The sequence below is a fragment of the Homo sapiens genome, chromosome 2 (genome assembly GCF_000001405.40).
Source record: "Homo sapiens chromosome 2, GRCh38.p14 Primary Assembly".
In the NCBI taxonomy this organism is placed as follows: Eukaryota; Metazoa; Chordata; class Mammalia; order Primates; family Hominidae; genus Homo; species Homo sapiens.
In genome coordinates this window covers 162,030,607-162,045,385 of record NC_000002.12, presented here as the reverse complement: position 1 = coordinate 162,045,385, position 14,779 = coordinate 162,030,607, and the positions used below count along the sequence as shown (strand labels likewise).

General features: G+C 38.2%; 1 protein-coding gene across 8 annotated transcripts in view; it reads left to right on the top strand.

The window, feature by feature from the left end:
• The window catches only part of DPP4 (dipeptidyl peptidase 4), an 81,971-nt gene that overhangs the window by 28,830 nt on the left and 38,362 nt on the right, over positions 1 to 14,779 (top strand). For 5 of the 8 annotated variants that reach the window (NR_166823.1, NM_001379605.1, NM_001379604.1 and 2 more), the window contains 5 exons: positions 6,202 to 6,254; positions 6,365 to 6,437; positions 6,964 to 7,084; positions 10,062 to 10,222; positions 11,733 to 11,845. Coding sequence is in view for 4 of the 8 variants with exons in the window: in NM_001379605.1 (NP_001366534.1) it covers positions 6,202 to 6,254; positions 6,365 to 6,437; positions 6,964 to 7,084; positions 10,062 to 10,222; positions 11,733 to 11,845 (521 nt within the window). In the remaining 4 variants the exon portion in view is untranslated. Of the gene's footprint in view, positions 1 to 6,201; positions 6,255 to 6,364; positions 6,442 to 6,963; positions 7,085 to 10,061; positions 10,223 to 11,732; positions 11,846 to 13,120; positions 13,352 to 14,779 lie in introns of all 8 variants that reach the window. The other 3 variants (NR_166822.1, NR_166824.1, NR_166825.1) reach the window with 3 other exon arrangements.

Sequence of the window (14,779 nt, the reverse complement as noted above, 5' to 3'; positions counted from 1 at the left end):
CTCATTCTTAAAGACAAGTTCAGTGTTTTAAAAGAAATTCATTTTTAGTGCTTTCAAATACTAGAAAGCACAGTTAATATTATATTGTTCTAATATATACTAATAACATAAGTCAATAAAAATTTGTACTTACACACATATTTAAAAGTAAGTTTACATGTCTGATTTGTACACCTAATGACAGAACCCTTTATTTCCTTTGTCACAGCTTTATGTATAGTAAGAGCCTCCATAGATATGTGTTTTTAAAAGAGTTAAAGTCGGGCATGGTGGCATGCACCTATAGTCCCAGCTACTTAGGAGGGAAGGCTGAAGCAGGAGGATCACTTGAGCCCAGGAGTTGGAAGCTACAGTTACCTATACTGTGCCACTGCATTATAGTCTAGAGGACAGAGTGAGACCCCGTCAAAAAAAAAAAAAAGAAAGAAAGAAAGAAAAAGAAAAGGAAGAGTTAAACTTTCCATCCTCCAGAAAAGATTCCGCAAGATGGCCCAGACCATCTCCCAACCTTCGGGCCCCACCATATACAAACTATTCTAAGGAGGAGAGCCTCACCACAGATCGTAAAGATTCCATCAAGAGCACTCAGCTTTCCCCAGTTACCCAGCTCAACTCCACATCCTCACACATTCAGGAAAGGTTACAGCTTAATCATACATCCTCTTCATGTTTAGGATGGATATGGGTGGCCATAACTTTAACTACAGCTTTTTGGTTACTCATGGATTTGACAAGTTGTTCAAGTATAGGAAGTTTTGAGACATGTAGTGAAGATTACAAATTTGTAAAGATACCCTGTATTGCAAGCAAAATACAAAGCTGGGGATTCCCACCCCTGATCTTCCTTTTCTAGGATAAATAATATTGAGGAGACACCAACACTCACACACCAACACTCACACACCAACGCTCACACACCAACACTCACACACCAACGCTCACACACCAACACTCACCCACCAACACTCACACACCAACACTCACACACCAACACTGCTGTACTCAGGCCAAGCAAACCATTCCCTACTGCATTTACCATCTCAGGATGGTGACTGTTAATCGTAATATTTACCCTGGATTTGCTGGGCTGGGCTCACTCTCCTGGACATGAAGACTCTATGTTCTGTTAAAATTAACTGTAAGTGAATCGGAATCTTGTACCAACTTTGACACATCTGTTGCCAATTAATGGATTATTGTTTGTTTAATTAAGTGCTTCTTATTTCTATCTATAGAATACATTCACTTAATTTACTTGAGAAACTTTTAAAACTTCCCAGTGTCCAGGTTCAATCCCCAGATCAGTAAACAGAGGTTTCTGGGGTAAAGCCAGAATCAGTATCTTTTTTTCTTTTTTTGAGACAAGGTCTCATTCTGTCACCCAGGCTAGAGTGCAGTGGTATGATCATGGCTCACTGCAGCCTCAACATTTTGGGCTTGACTAATCCTCCTACCTCAGCCTCCTGAGTAGCTGAGACTACAGGTGTGCACCACCATGCCCTGCTAATTTTCAATTTTTTCTTAGAAATAGGGTCTCACTGTGTTCCCCAGGCTGGTCTCAAACTCCTGTCCTCAAACGATTCTCCCACCTCAGTTTCCCCAAGTGCTAGGATTACAGGCATGAGCCACTGTGCCTGATGAGCCTCAGTATATTTTAAACTGTCATAGGTGATTGTAATGGCAACCAGGGCTGAGAACCCCTGAATAACAGTTGTCCATGTTAAAGACTAACATATGAAGGTAAGGTAGAAACAGAAAGGTAATACCAGCTCACCTTACTATATAGCCAGGTTCAACAAAAGCCATTTGATGTGCACGAATGCGTGTATTCCCCTGGTGGCCCTTAGTTGGCCAGCCACGGTTGGAGATTTGTATTTGTTGTGTCACTGGAGTTTACCCGTGTATTTAACTGCTTTTGCTTTTTTCACTCTGTCCCCTTCCCCCTGCCATCTATGCTTCAGACAGTATCGAAAGTACTACTTTTAAATTCTAAATTAGTTTATGCCACACCTATGCCACCTACAGTGCCTTCCCATCACACTCAAAATAAAACACCAGCTCTAACCCTGGCATCCTGAGGCCTGTGTGATTGAACACAGTCTGCCCGGCTGAACACATCTCCTACCCGCTTCTCCTGCACTCGGCATGCTTGGCCAGAGCTTCTCGTCTCATCTGCACCTTAGGATCACTTGAGGAGCTTTTGAAAAAACACGGATATCTGTGGCCTACCCTAAAGCAACTAACTCAGCATAGCTGTGGGCCTCCTGGAGATTCCATGATGCTGAGTTGAGAACCTTTAATTGCACAGCTCTTTCTTTTTCTCAAGCATCACCCTCATTCCCATCTAAAGGCAAAATCACTTGCTATTGCTTCCTCATGGAAGCTTCTCCATCATCATATGCTTCTCTCTATTAACTCAGGTCCAGATTTCTTGGGTCACTTTGTCAAACATTGTCCCCTGCCATGCTCTTCCACCCACACCCCACAAATCAGTCTCTGTCACGTTAACCCATTTTAGTTTCATCACAACATTTTGTGATATTTTGTCATTGATTTCTTTGCTTATTTTTTGCCTGCCTTATTTGGTGCCAGTTTCCCTGTGATTTATTCACTGCCACACCTCTGTGCCTAGGACAGGGCCACATAGCAGATGCTGAACATCATTGTTAAATGAATACATGTTTTATTGCAAAGTGCTAAATTATAAAGCTATTGAAACTAAGGATCTATATCTTCTACTACTTTTCTTTCTTTTTTTTTTTTTACTTTCAAGAGAGTCCAGTAGAATTTTCTGTACAGCATATACGTTTTGACTAAGTGACTCTTATGAAATGTATCTAGAAAAAAGAAAAGTCTAATTTGATTACATTTCCTTGGAGGTCTACCTTTTAGTGTTTTTTAGATCCTACTATGTGACTTCTCCATGACTGAGTTAGTGCTATCACTTCCAAGTTGTGGCTACAAATAAATAAATGAGCAAGTGAGTGAGTGAGTGGATAAGTACCCCCACAGTCTGGTATGAATGTTCTCCTAGCATCTCTGCTCATTGCCTAGTGCTCTGGAAATAGAGATAATAGTTGTGTCATCGATTCTATGTTGACAATGTTCCAGAACCCTGCTAAGTGCTTCTCATGCATTCTCATGCATCTGAGATTGTTGCCGGCATTATCCTCATTTGTCTAAAAAGAAAATGGAAGCTTAGAAAGAAACTTGCTTCATGTTACACAGTGAAAGCCTGAATCCAGGTTAGAAGACTCCAAAGCCTTTGCTCTTAAATGTGATCTTTCCTATCTTTGCATTCGGCTTCTCTTTGCTATGATGCTCTTTTACTCTTTCCCAGTCACCCTCTGTCACTAACCTCAGCCAAAGAATCATCTTTTCCATAATCCTCTCTGCCTCCCCAAGGCCTAATTTATGATTCCTGCCTCTCCCACCCACCTCCATTATATCTCTTGGCACATCCTATTGTGATTATTTTATTGTCATTTACTATTGCATATCCTCCATTCCACTATAAGCTGCTCCAGGGGAGGGACTCTGTGTTATCCAGTAATGTCTGATAGATGATAGCTGCCAGTGTTTATAAACTAAATAGAATAATGAATCTGTTTCAAAAGATGAAGTGAACATACCAAACATCATGGGTTTTCTTTTACAACCCATGGTGGTTTGTCATGCTCAGTGATCTCAATCCATCTTAATAGTTTTAGCTGGTACCACACCTTTTGGCTTTAGTGAATATTTTGCTTGAGGTTGCCCAGAAACAAGCATGGGGTGTGTCAAAATAATCCAGGATTCAAGAAAGGAATGTATGACTCCCGAAAAGTAGAATTTAATAAATATTTGTTGACATGAGAGCATAGAAGGGAGAGAAGTGATAAATAGTTAAGGTTAGGAACTCTGACTTTGTATCTCAGCTCTGCTATTATATAGCTAGGTGTCCTTGGGATACCTATTTCATCCGTCTCATCCTCATTGATACAATTAGAATTTTATTGTAATTTGTTGTATTTCTTGAACACTCACTATGTGGCTTGCACTAGAATAGACTCCAGGCATCCAAAGATAAATAAGATACAATTTCTTACCTCTAGGAGTATGGTAAAGAAGGCAGACGTATAGACAAGTAACTTATTTGAAAATACCTTTAATTTTTATATGCATCTATATTCAGACATAATATTTCATAAATGCAAATATGTGATCATATACATTTTTATCTTCGGTCTTATTTCTTCCCTTCTTCACTTGGCTCTCTAAAGTCTAATATGTATCTTTCCATATTTTTATATTTTTCTTCTTGTTCATATAACTCTGAAAATATATAGGGATGTTTTTAGTTATTGCTTGGTCTATAAAAATAAAATCCTATAGTTTTTTGTAAATTGCATTTCTCACTCAATGATACCATGTGAAACTCCTTTCAAGTCATCTGGTTAGCTCTGATTCATTTTTTTTTAATTAATATCACTTTATTTTTCAGAACAGCTTTAGGTTTATAGAAAATAAGCAGAGAGTTCCCATATACTCCCTTATCCTCCCTCCCCCACTTTCCCCTATTATTAATGTCTTGCATGAGTGTGGTCCATTTGTTATAACAAATGAGCCAATATTAATATATCATTATTAATTTAAGTCCATAGTTTACATTAGGCTTAACTCTTTGTGGGTTTTGGCAAATATATGGCATGTATCTACCATTATGGTGGATTCTGACAAATCTATGGCTCTTGACAAAAGTATGATGACATGTTTCACCATTATAGTATTATACAGATGACTTTGACTGTGCTAAAAATCCCTGTGTTTCCCCCATTCATCCCTTCCTTCCCCCAGTCTCCAAGCAACCACCAATCTCTTTACTCTCTCCATAGTTTTACCTTTTCCAGAAACTCATATTGTTGGAATCATACAATATGTAACCTTACCACATTGGCTTATTTCACTTAGCAATATGTGTTTGAGATTCCTCCATGTCTTTTTGTGGCTTAATAGCTCATTCTTCTTATCATTAAATAAGATTCCATTGTATGGATCTCTACTACAGTTTGTTTATCCACTCACCTGTTGAATGACATCTTAGTTGCCTCCCAGTTTTGGCAGTTATGAATAAAGCTGCTATAAACATTTGTGTGTAGATTTTTGTGTGGGCATAAATTCTCAACTCATTTGAATAAATAACAAGAAGTTTGCTGGTAAAGTTATTTTGCCTTGGAGTTTTCTCTATGTAAAGTTTCTTATATCTGGATTCAATTTGTTTATTAGATATAAGACTATTCAGAATTTTTCTCACTTTTAAGAAATTATTTTTCAAGAAATTTTTTGCTTTTCTCTAATTTTTAAAATGTATTGGCAAAAAAATGTTTATAATAGCCTCTTATGATCTTTTAACATCTGTGGAGTCTGTTGTGATATCCCATTTTTCCTTTCTGATACCAGTCATTTGTGCTGTTTTACTCCTAAGTTTTACTATGTTTGCAATTTTACTAGTCTTTTCGATGACTTGAGTTTTGGCTTTGTTGATTTTTTCTATTATGTGTTTTCTACTTTATCAATGCTTTTACCTTTATTATTTCATTTCTTCTAATTACTTTGGATTTAGTTTGACTTCCTTTTTAAAAAAAAATTTTATTTCCCTATGCTTCTGCAGTCACTGAAAATTTGACTTTCATTTCTAGCTTTTTGAGATGGTTGTTAAAATATTGATGATATATGTATTTTAATTTTAATATATCTTGCCAGGGGGCTTCCAAAAACTTTATAACACTTTACCTTTCATCATCAGTGTATGAAGTTAAACATTTCTTCACATCACCATCAGCAATAGCATCATATATCGTTTAAATCTTTTGCCAATAAAGTAGGTGAAAAGTGAAAATTTACATTTTTCTAAGTAGGCAATCTTAGCACACTATGGTGAGTGCTAGGGATAATGTTTGTACAAAATGACATTTTTGGTGCACTGTGGTCCTGGAGGAGGTGGTGCCAGAGCTAGGTTGTAGATGAACTCCAGAGGAGTTTGTATGAGATGATCTCTAGGATACTTCTGAATCCCAAAATTCTCGGAGGAAATTATAAGATATGATAACATGTGAGAATTATACAATCATATATTACCAAACCTATCATCTTGGTCTCCTATAGTGAGTGGCCAAATTATCAAGTATCACAGAAGCCTGAAATGTCTGTTTTCTTTCATAGCAATGGAGGCATTCCTACACAGCTTCATATGACATTTATGATTTAAATAAAAGGTCAGTGACTTCCCAATAAAATCTATTAGGCTTTCCTACTGTCATATTTTTAAGGAAACCCCAATGTGAGTTATTCTTTTTGATAATATTTCCTTTCATCTTTTTTCCAGGCAGCTGATTACAGAAGAGAGGATTCCAAACAACACACAGTGGGTCACATGGTCACCAGTGGGTCATAAATTGGTTAGTGAGTCTCTCCAGTTGTCAGAAAAATATAGGCTCAAATTTTTCATAGGCAGAAGTTACTAACCCTGATACAAAGCAGACATCTTAGGAACTCAATACTTCACTATAGAACATAGTGTTATTGCCCAGGATCTAATGTTTGTCTGCAGCTGAACTTCTCTCTTCCAGAATGCAACTGCCTTCTCTCTACTCACTCTCCCAATAAAGAAATATACAAGCATATATCATCCTGTAGAAGTGGTCAGCCTTCTCGGTCTTCTCATATACTTTAGCATTCAAATAGTGGTAGTTATGTACTTCTCATTTTTAACACATTATTAATGGTTTTAGGATTATTTTGGGATTATAGGCTGTACACTTGTAATTTAAGAATGAGAGGGAAGGAGTAAATGACTCTTCCTGTTTGAATGGAATATTTGACTATGGTAATCCTTACATTTGCAATAGATAAGTGTTTCTACAATTCCGGGATAAAAATATGACATGTATTATAGATATCAATGCTTGTTTTTTTTCCTTCTAGGCATATGTTTGGAACAATGACATTTATGTTAAAATTGAACCAAATTTACCAAGTTACAGAATCACATGGACGGGGAAAGAAGATATAATATATAATGGAATAACTGACTGGGTTTATGAAGGTAGAAACTTTAAAGCTTTTTCAAATCAGAAAATCTATAAGCTTTTAAAATAGTTAAATGTTTCTTTTGCAATGGGAAAATTTAAATGAGATTGAAAAAAAGTTTCATTGTTTAAAATGTCATCAGATTTCTCTTAGAACTCACAGCACCAGATGTCTCCTTGACCAAGAATTTAACTATTCCTAGCACTCCTCTGTCCTCATTGCCTGACAATACTCCTCTTGTCTCTGTTATATTGATACAAAGGGCTTTTCTGTGTAGGTAGACCTTTTCTGCCTTTACTGGAACATAAAAGCCTCCAGATTAACATCAGATATTTCTCTAATTAAGCCTACCTAACCCGAAAGTTACTAAGGAAAGCTAAATAATCCCATCACATTGAGAAGATGATAAAATAATATATACAGGTTGGAGAGTACAGGGGAAGAAAATGCCTATTTTATAGAGGATTTGTATTTATTTGAACTTGGACAAATTATGATTTCCTGTTTTTAAGAATAAAAAAGCAATTAGAAAGGCTTAGGAAAAAGTGACTAATAAAACTAAAAAAGTTAAAAAGGAATATTCTCCCTTTTAGGATACAGAGTTGTCGAAACTATTAGGAACACATTTTAGAAACTTAGAAAATATTAGAAAAACATTTTTTGTGTCTGTATTTGCCAAGATAAAAGGCATTTTGAGGCTGCTCCAAACTGTTCACAAGGTTTCCTCATACTTATTAGAAAGACTTATCTGTATTTCATCGTATTATTTTTTTCTTCTTTGTAGTTTAAAAAAATAATTTTTCTTCATGACTTAATTTTAGTTCTTACCAAGTCCAAGTCAAGTTTAGTTGACTCATTATAACAACAACAACAAATCACATTAAAAGAAAGATAACTTTTCATGTCCTAGAAATAAGTGCTTGACTAAAACTTACAATGAAATTTACTAGCACTAGCTACTTAGAGATTCTTTAACCCTTGGACAGCACAACCCAGCCTCCAGGATCCTTGACAAGAGTGGCCTCTTTCCAAAGCTGTGACCCTCTCTCAGAAACAGCTGGCCCTCTGGAAGATAAGAGGGCAGCTAACACTTTCATTCTTTCTAAAGTAGATAATTGCTGGAGGGAGTCTTTTGCATGTTCACGACTAGGCCATTCACATGCAGAACAGCTTCACAGCTCCAATTTGGGCCTCTCTAATAGCTTCAGTTCCTAGAAGGAAATTACTACATTGTCAATACAGAAAAATATGTCCTGCATTCCAAATAACCACTAATTCAAGACAAACATCACTACCTGCTAATTACACTTACAAGTAATTCTAAAAAACAAAATCTTGGTCTGATTATATTGATTTTATGTAATTGCAGCTGTGTTATAGACCAGAATCAATGGGTAAAAGTTGCAAAGAATGAGAAGTCAACTCAGTATATGAACAAGTTCTTACTATAATAGAAACCATGACTTGGAGTCATAAGGGCTGGGTTCTAGTTCTTGTCTCAGGCAATTCACTGGATTGCTCCATGCCTCAGTTTCCTTCTTTGTGCAATGAGCTATGAATCACCACCCAGAGACTAAATATGATATGTTTTGTAAATTCTAAATTGCTACATAAGAGTGTATAGATCAGTGATATAGATATGAGGCAGTCAAAGGAAGAATAGGCTGCTTAACCCGGAAGTAGGTTTTCTATTACTGGAAATACTAAAATAGAGGCAGGAAAGGGCAGTATAGCACTGAGATGAAAAGCATGAGTCAAAGGAGATTTGGGTTGGTTTTTGATTCTACCAATTCTTAGCCATGTGATCCTAGACAAATTTCTGATCCTCTTCAAGCTTGTCTCACTTTATCAATACAATGGGTTATTGTGAGCCTTAACTGAGATGATAGATGTCAATTGCTTATCAATACCTGGCGCATAGTTAGCACTCATTGAATGTCAGCTGCTCATCACAATAATTATTATTACATTTTATTACAGTAATTATTTTTGCTATTATTCTTGTTGTTGAAAAAAAGCATTTGGAAGTAACTTGAAAGGAGGTATCAGGCATCTGAAAACTGATTAGAATGCATGATTTCCCAACCCTAAGATTCTAGTTTCTATGCTTTTGCTTTTACATTTACACTTACATGAGACTTGTGGAATATCTAGGCGTCTCCACCCAGTCCACTTAATTCCTCCATTCCCGGTTGGTGAAGGAGTTTTCAACATATTAAGAGCCAGTGATTGAATATCTCATGTATAGACCCCATAATAATCATAGGGAAGAGCTATCTTTGCCAGAGATTGAGAAGAAGCCCGACAATGTACTGGAAAGCAAGATCTGGTCTTTTATTTGCCTCCCTCTTTGACCCTCTTCTCTTACCCATCAGCATATACACCAGAGCAGTGTGTTAATCTAAGGGAGTTTTCAGTTTCTGGGCTGGGCAAGGAGATGTTTCTCAGTAGGGGTCTCAATGGAGTTCCTTGCCATTCTAAATCTATCCTTCCCACACCTTGTTTGTGCCAAGAGTAGTAAACTCTGGGCACCATATTGGTTTGATAGCCTGGAGCTACACACCACCCACCAGTACCCTGCGGGCTCAGTACAAACTGAGCCCAGTTGGGGAGAGTATGCTGGCATGTTGACTGTTTGAAAATTAGAAAGGAGAATCAGCCTCCTGTGTGAAATTTACTTTTAGTATGTTTTGAGGCATAAATTTAGAGGATTATAAGATAAAGAAAAAAATGTAGAGCTTATATTAAATATTGCATGCTAAAATATTCTAAAATGGTCCAACGGGTTACTTATTTTTACAATCCAGATATATCCTTGAAGATTTTATTTTTATTCATTTGTATTACTCTGATTTTGGAAGCCCAGCAAATGCAAAGTGGTTCATTAGTTGAACTCTACTGTAATTACTAAAGCTAATGAGAACAATATTTTGAATGCCAAAGCCAATTTATCAGCTACTTCTTGTAACAGAACAATTTGTGTCTTTTTTCAGAGGAAGTCTTCAGTGCCTACTCTGCTCTGTGGTGGTCTCCAAACGGCACTTTTTTAGCATATGCCCAATTTAACGACACAGAAGTCCCACTTATTGAATACTCCTTCTACTCTGATGAGTCACTGCAGTACCCAAAGACTGTACGGGTTCCATATCCAAAGGTCTGTGCTCCTGTTTGTACAGTGGTTCCATGATTTGATGGGAAGAGAATGGTTTCATTTAATCCCTTCTTGCTAATGAAAATATTGTCAGTCTCTCTTCAACAGCTTGCTGTGATTACTCTTGCTGAAGTCAACAGCATCTGGCAATTTTAAAGTATTTTTATTATCCCAGGAAAGAGTGTGATTTAAGGTTTTGTAATTTCTCCAAAAACTTTGAGGAATGACAAGCAGAAAAAATGGGGAAAATGCTTTAGAAAGAGATAAGGGGAATGAAAATGCTTGAATGGAGGAAAAGAGAGGCTATAATTGAATTAGAAGCTCGTCTCATTTGTAGAAGTTGGATTGTGCCCTCGACGAAGTTGCAAAGCTCAGTTATATATCAGATTGTATTACTAGTTAACGGGATACATGACTAGTTTTAGTGGTTCTATTATAGATTTGGCACTAATGTAAATTTTTCATGTCCTACATTTGGAATAATAGTGTCACGTCTTGGTTTTCAAAGCTGTTCTCCTCGTCAGGGTTGCGTGTTTACTAAAATTGAGGAGCTTTGTTAAGCAGCGTAAGCCGGGTGAGATGGGGTTTAGAAGGGAACCAGGAATTCTTCACTAGTACCGTAATAATAATGGCTACAGTATTGTCTGCAGGAGAATCTAATAGTAAAGTGTTTTTTCTGTAAGAAATTTGGAAAAGGGGATTTTTATTTTTACCAACTCACTCAATTTGCTTTATGAAGAGCTGCCATTTTAGGAAGACAGAGGAAGTTAAAAGAAAAAAAAAGATCAGAGACTAAATATGGAGATGTGTTTTCAGTGGAATGTTATTTTTTGATGAGCGAAACTGGCACATACAAAAAAAACTCCATAAAGTGTTCTCACTAAAAATATCATATTATTTCTAACTAATCTGTCAATCGAAGATCTATGTGTATATTTAAAAAGGTTTTATAGGTTTCAGTCATAATATTGATTGTAAAGCTCCAACATAGTGAACCTGAATTTAGAGTGGAAATGATGGCTTCCTAATTGACACCGTTGACTCAGGTAAACTGATTTTTCTGGTGGATGGTGTCTTTGGCAGAACCCAAGGTGTTCTTCATACTGACAGGCATCAAAGACTTTTGGTCTCAGGGAGACAGGGTATATTTGCAAATAATAAAGTTGATTTTAAGAGGTTTATCCTTGCTTGCACAAAGTGATAAATTATAAAGATATAAACATTCATTATTTAAACAGAAGTGCTTTGGACCTTCAAGTTTTATATAGTGTGTATATATATATATATATATATATATATATATACACATATTCTGTTTCTGCCTGACCATGAAAAGGTTGCATTTCATGACTCTCCCTTATGTTCATTTTATGTATATTAAATTGTTGGAACATGTCTGATTGTGATAATTTTATGACCATAATGCAGACGTTTTTGTGCAGTTTTAAAATGTGTGCAACGATGTTACTTTTTTTTTTTTGTCAATACCAATTCTGTGATTATTTTTTCCTAGGCAGGAGCTGTGAATCCAACTGTAAAGTTCTTTGTTGTAAATACAGACTCTCTCAGCTCAGTCACCAATGCAACTTCCATACAAATCACTGCTCCTGCTTCTATGTTGATAGGGTAAGACTCTTGTCCTGAATGCTTGGCTTGTAAACAGTTTTACACTTTCTAGGGAGAACTTTTCAAAAGTGAATGGCAAAGTGGATCACAGCCTCCCACTGTGTCATCCCCGCTGACAGTCATTCATTCTTTCCTTCAGCAACTCTTTGTTGAGCATCTTCACGTCCTCAGGCTGGGCACAACTCTAGAGATGAGGATGACAATGGACAGAGCAGCCAGCCCCTGGTGTTATGGAGCCTACATTCAAATTGGGGGAGACAGACAATAACCAGATAAAAAAAGAGCAGTGTAATATGCCAGGTAGCAATAAATGTGGTGAAGAAAACCTGAGCAGAGCAAAATGGATGGGGCCGATGAGGGGAGGTCAGGGAATCCTCATGGATAAAATGAACTGTGGCAGTGATGTGAAGAGCAGGAGGGCTCCATCCACACCAATAGCAGGGGGCAGAGGAAGAGCAAGTGCAAAGGCCCTGCAGAGGAGATGTGCTTGGGGTGTTGGAGGAAATGCAAGGAGGTTGGGGTGACTGGAGCCTTTTGACTGAAGAAGAGAGTGGAAGGGACAAGGTCAGGTCCCAAAGAGCCTTGTAAGGCCTAGAGAAATGCAGGAAATCTGTGGATTAAGTTTAGGGAGCTCCACGGTCATTTTGTGCTCCAAGACTTCACTTCCTGAAATCATGTCAGTGGTTTGAAATTCCGCCATGGAGCACCTTCAGCCCCTTGTTTATTTTCCTGTAAAGGAACCAACATACTGGGTACAATTTACGGCTCTCTGATAGCTCCATATTTACTCATTTCTGTTATTTATTTGGTTTTGTTGCTGTTTTTTTTTTTGTTGTTGTTGTTGTTGTTTGTTTGTTTTTTTGAGACAGAGTCTTGCTCTGTCGCCCAGGCTAGAGTGCAGTGATGCCATCTCGGCTCACTGCAACCTCTGCCTCCCAGGTTCAAGCGATTCTCCTGCCTCAGCCTCCTGAGTACAGCTGGGATTACAGGTGCATGCCTGGCTAATTTTTGTATTTTTAGTAGAGATGAGGTTTCACCATGTTGGTCAGGCTGGTCTCGAACTCCTGACTCATGATCTGCCCGCCTTGGCCTCCCAAAGTGCTGGGATTACAGGCGAGAGCCACTGAGCCCGGCCTGTTGCTGTTTTTAAATAACAACTAGCATACATTGAGTACTCACCATGTACCAGACACAGGGATTATCACATGCTTTATCTTAGGACTCTTTAAAGTCAGTCTGTCTTTCCAACAACTGTCATCGTGTGCCTGTTCACAGATAAGAAAATGAGGCCTACAGATTAAGAAAATGACCAAGTACGAATCTATATTCAAACCTGACTTTCTGGCTTGAACGAACAAGCTATTAGATACTGCTTCGTGTCTCCCTCTGTGTGATTACAGCTGGTGCCCTCAGATTCCTGAAGGCACCATCACAGCAGTACGGAAGCATCCATTTTCTCTGGAGTTGCATTAAGTACATCAGGAAGGCTGTGGGCTGTGCTCCGTGGTTAGTAATTCATTATTTTGGTTAGAAATGTCTGTAGTAACCCATTCATTCAGGGGGAAAATCGATTAGTAAGTTTTTAAAAATGTTTCTGGGTTTGTCCAATGGAGTAAAAATTTACCCAAAGGTTTCAAAGTCTGCCTTTCGATTCCATCCAGCCACCTTTAATCATCATCATTGATGGGCAGCCTCTGTTTCTACTCCCAAATGTCCATAGAAAGCCTGTGCCCTTGTAGCGCTTATCATCAGTAGATGATAGAAAACATTCAGATAAATGCCCCCAGGAGTGATAAGAGAGATACGAGCAATAGAATGGAGGCATTCTGAGGAGGAGAACATGGGGTTTTCACGACCCCAGGAACAAAAAATACCCCCTGGAGAATGTGCAGATTGAGCAGGTTGGCTTCCAGCAGGGTGCAGTGAGGAGGAAGGACACTGAGGCGGAAAAAACAGAGTATGGAAAAGTCAGTGCTTCCCAGGAGAAGACCAGCAGAGCCTGGTGTGGCCTTTTGGTCTGTCACCAATATCTGCCTGTAGGGAGGATGAGCCATGAGCACCTGCTCTGAAAAAGATTCCATCGGAAAGGGGCTTTAGAACTTATCAATGGTTTATAAACTTTTTAAGGACCTGGAAACCTTTGTTCAAGTGAGATATAATATAGAAGTGTATGGCCAGAAAGCAAATGGGAGATTGCTTCTCAGTTTTGGCAGGTCTAGTCCTTGTCCTCCCTCCTTCCCGCAATAGTCCTGGGAGCTTAGACAGAACCTGGAGTGGTTCCAGGACACAGTCACAACACCGCTGTGAGGTACAGGTGAGAGAACCGAGGCTCAGAGAGGTAAAGTCATTTGCTCAAGGTCACACAGCAAGTTAGTGTGGAAGGTGGGAATAGGACCAAGGCCTATGCCTGCTGGACCAAAATATTTGAATAAGTTAGTTAAAAATGTATTGAGTCCTTCTCATGGGCTGGGACTGTGCTCAGTGCTCTGCTCTTGCTGTCTCATTTATTCCCCAAAGAGACGAAGTCTTTCCCACTTACAGATCCGTTTCCAAGGCACAGCTGTGTGAAGTGCTGGGCTCAAGAAACAAGCAATTCTCAGGACGGATTTTTGGCCTTATGTGAATTCGTCAATAAGTTCTTGTTCTCAGTAGTTCTTTAAGTCACACTTAAGACTCACTATGGAGATTTTGTGTGGAATGTATATTACCAAAGAATATTGTTTTTTTGGAAATGCCACAGGAATGTGTTTTTTAGGGAGTTTAAAATATAGCTCTGGTCTCTGTTAACGCTGGTAAGGTTGCGGTTAAAATATAGCTCTGGTCTCTGTTAACACTGGTAAGGTTGCGGTTTTTCTAGAACTAGACTCTAGATGCTCTCTGGGAAAAATGCTCTAGTACATGATGATACACCGTTTTCTGGCCTCATGCAAAGAT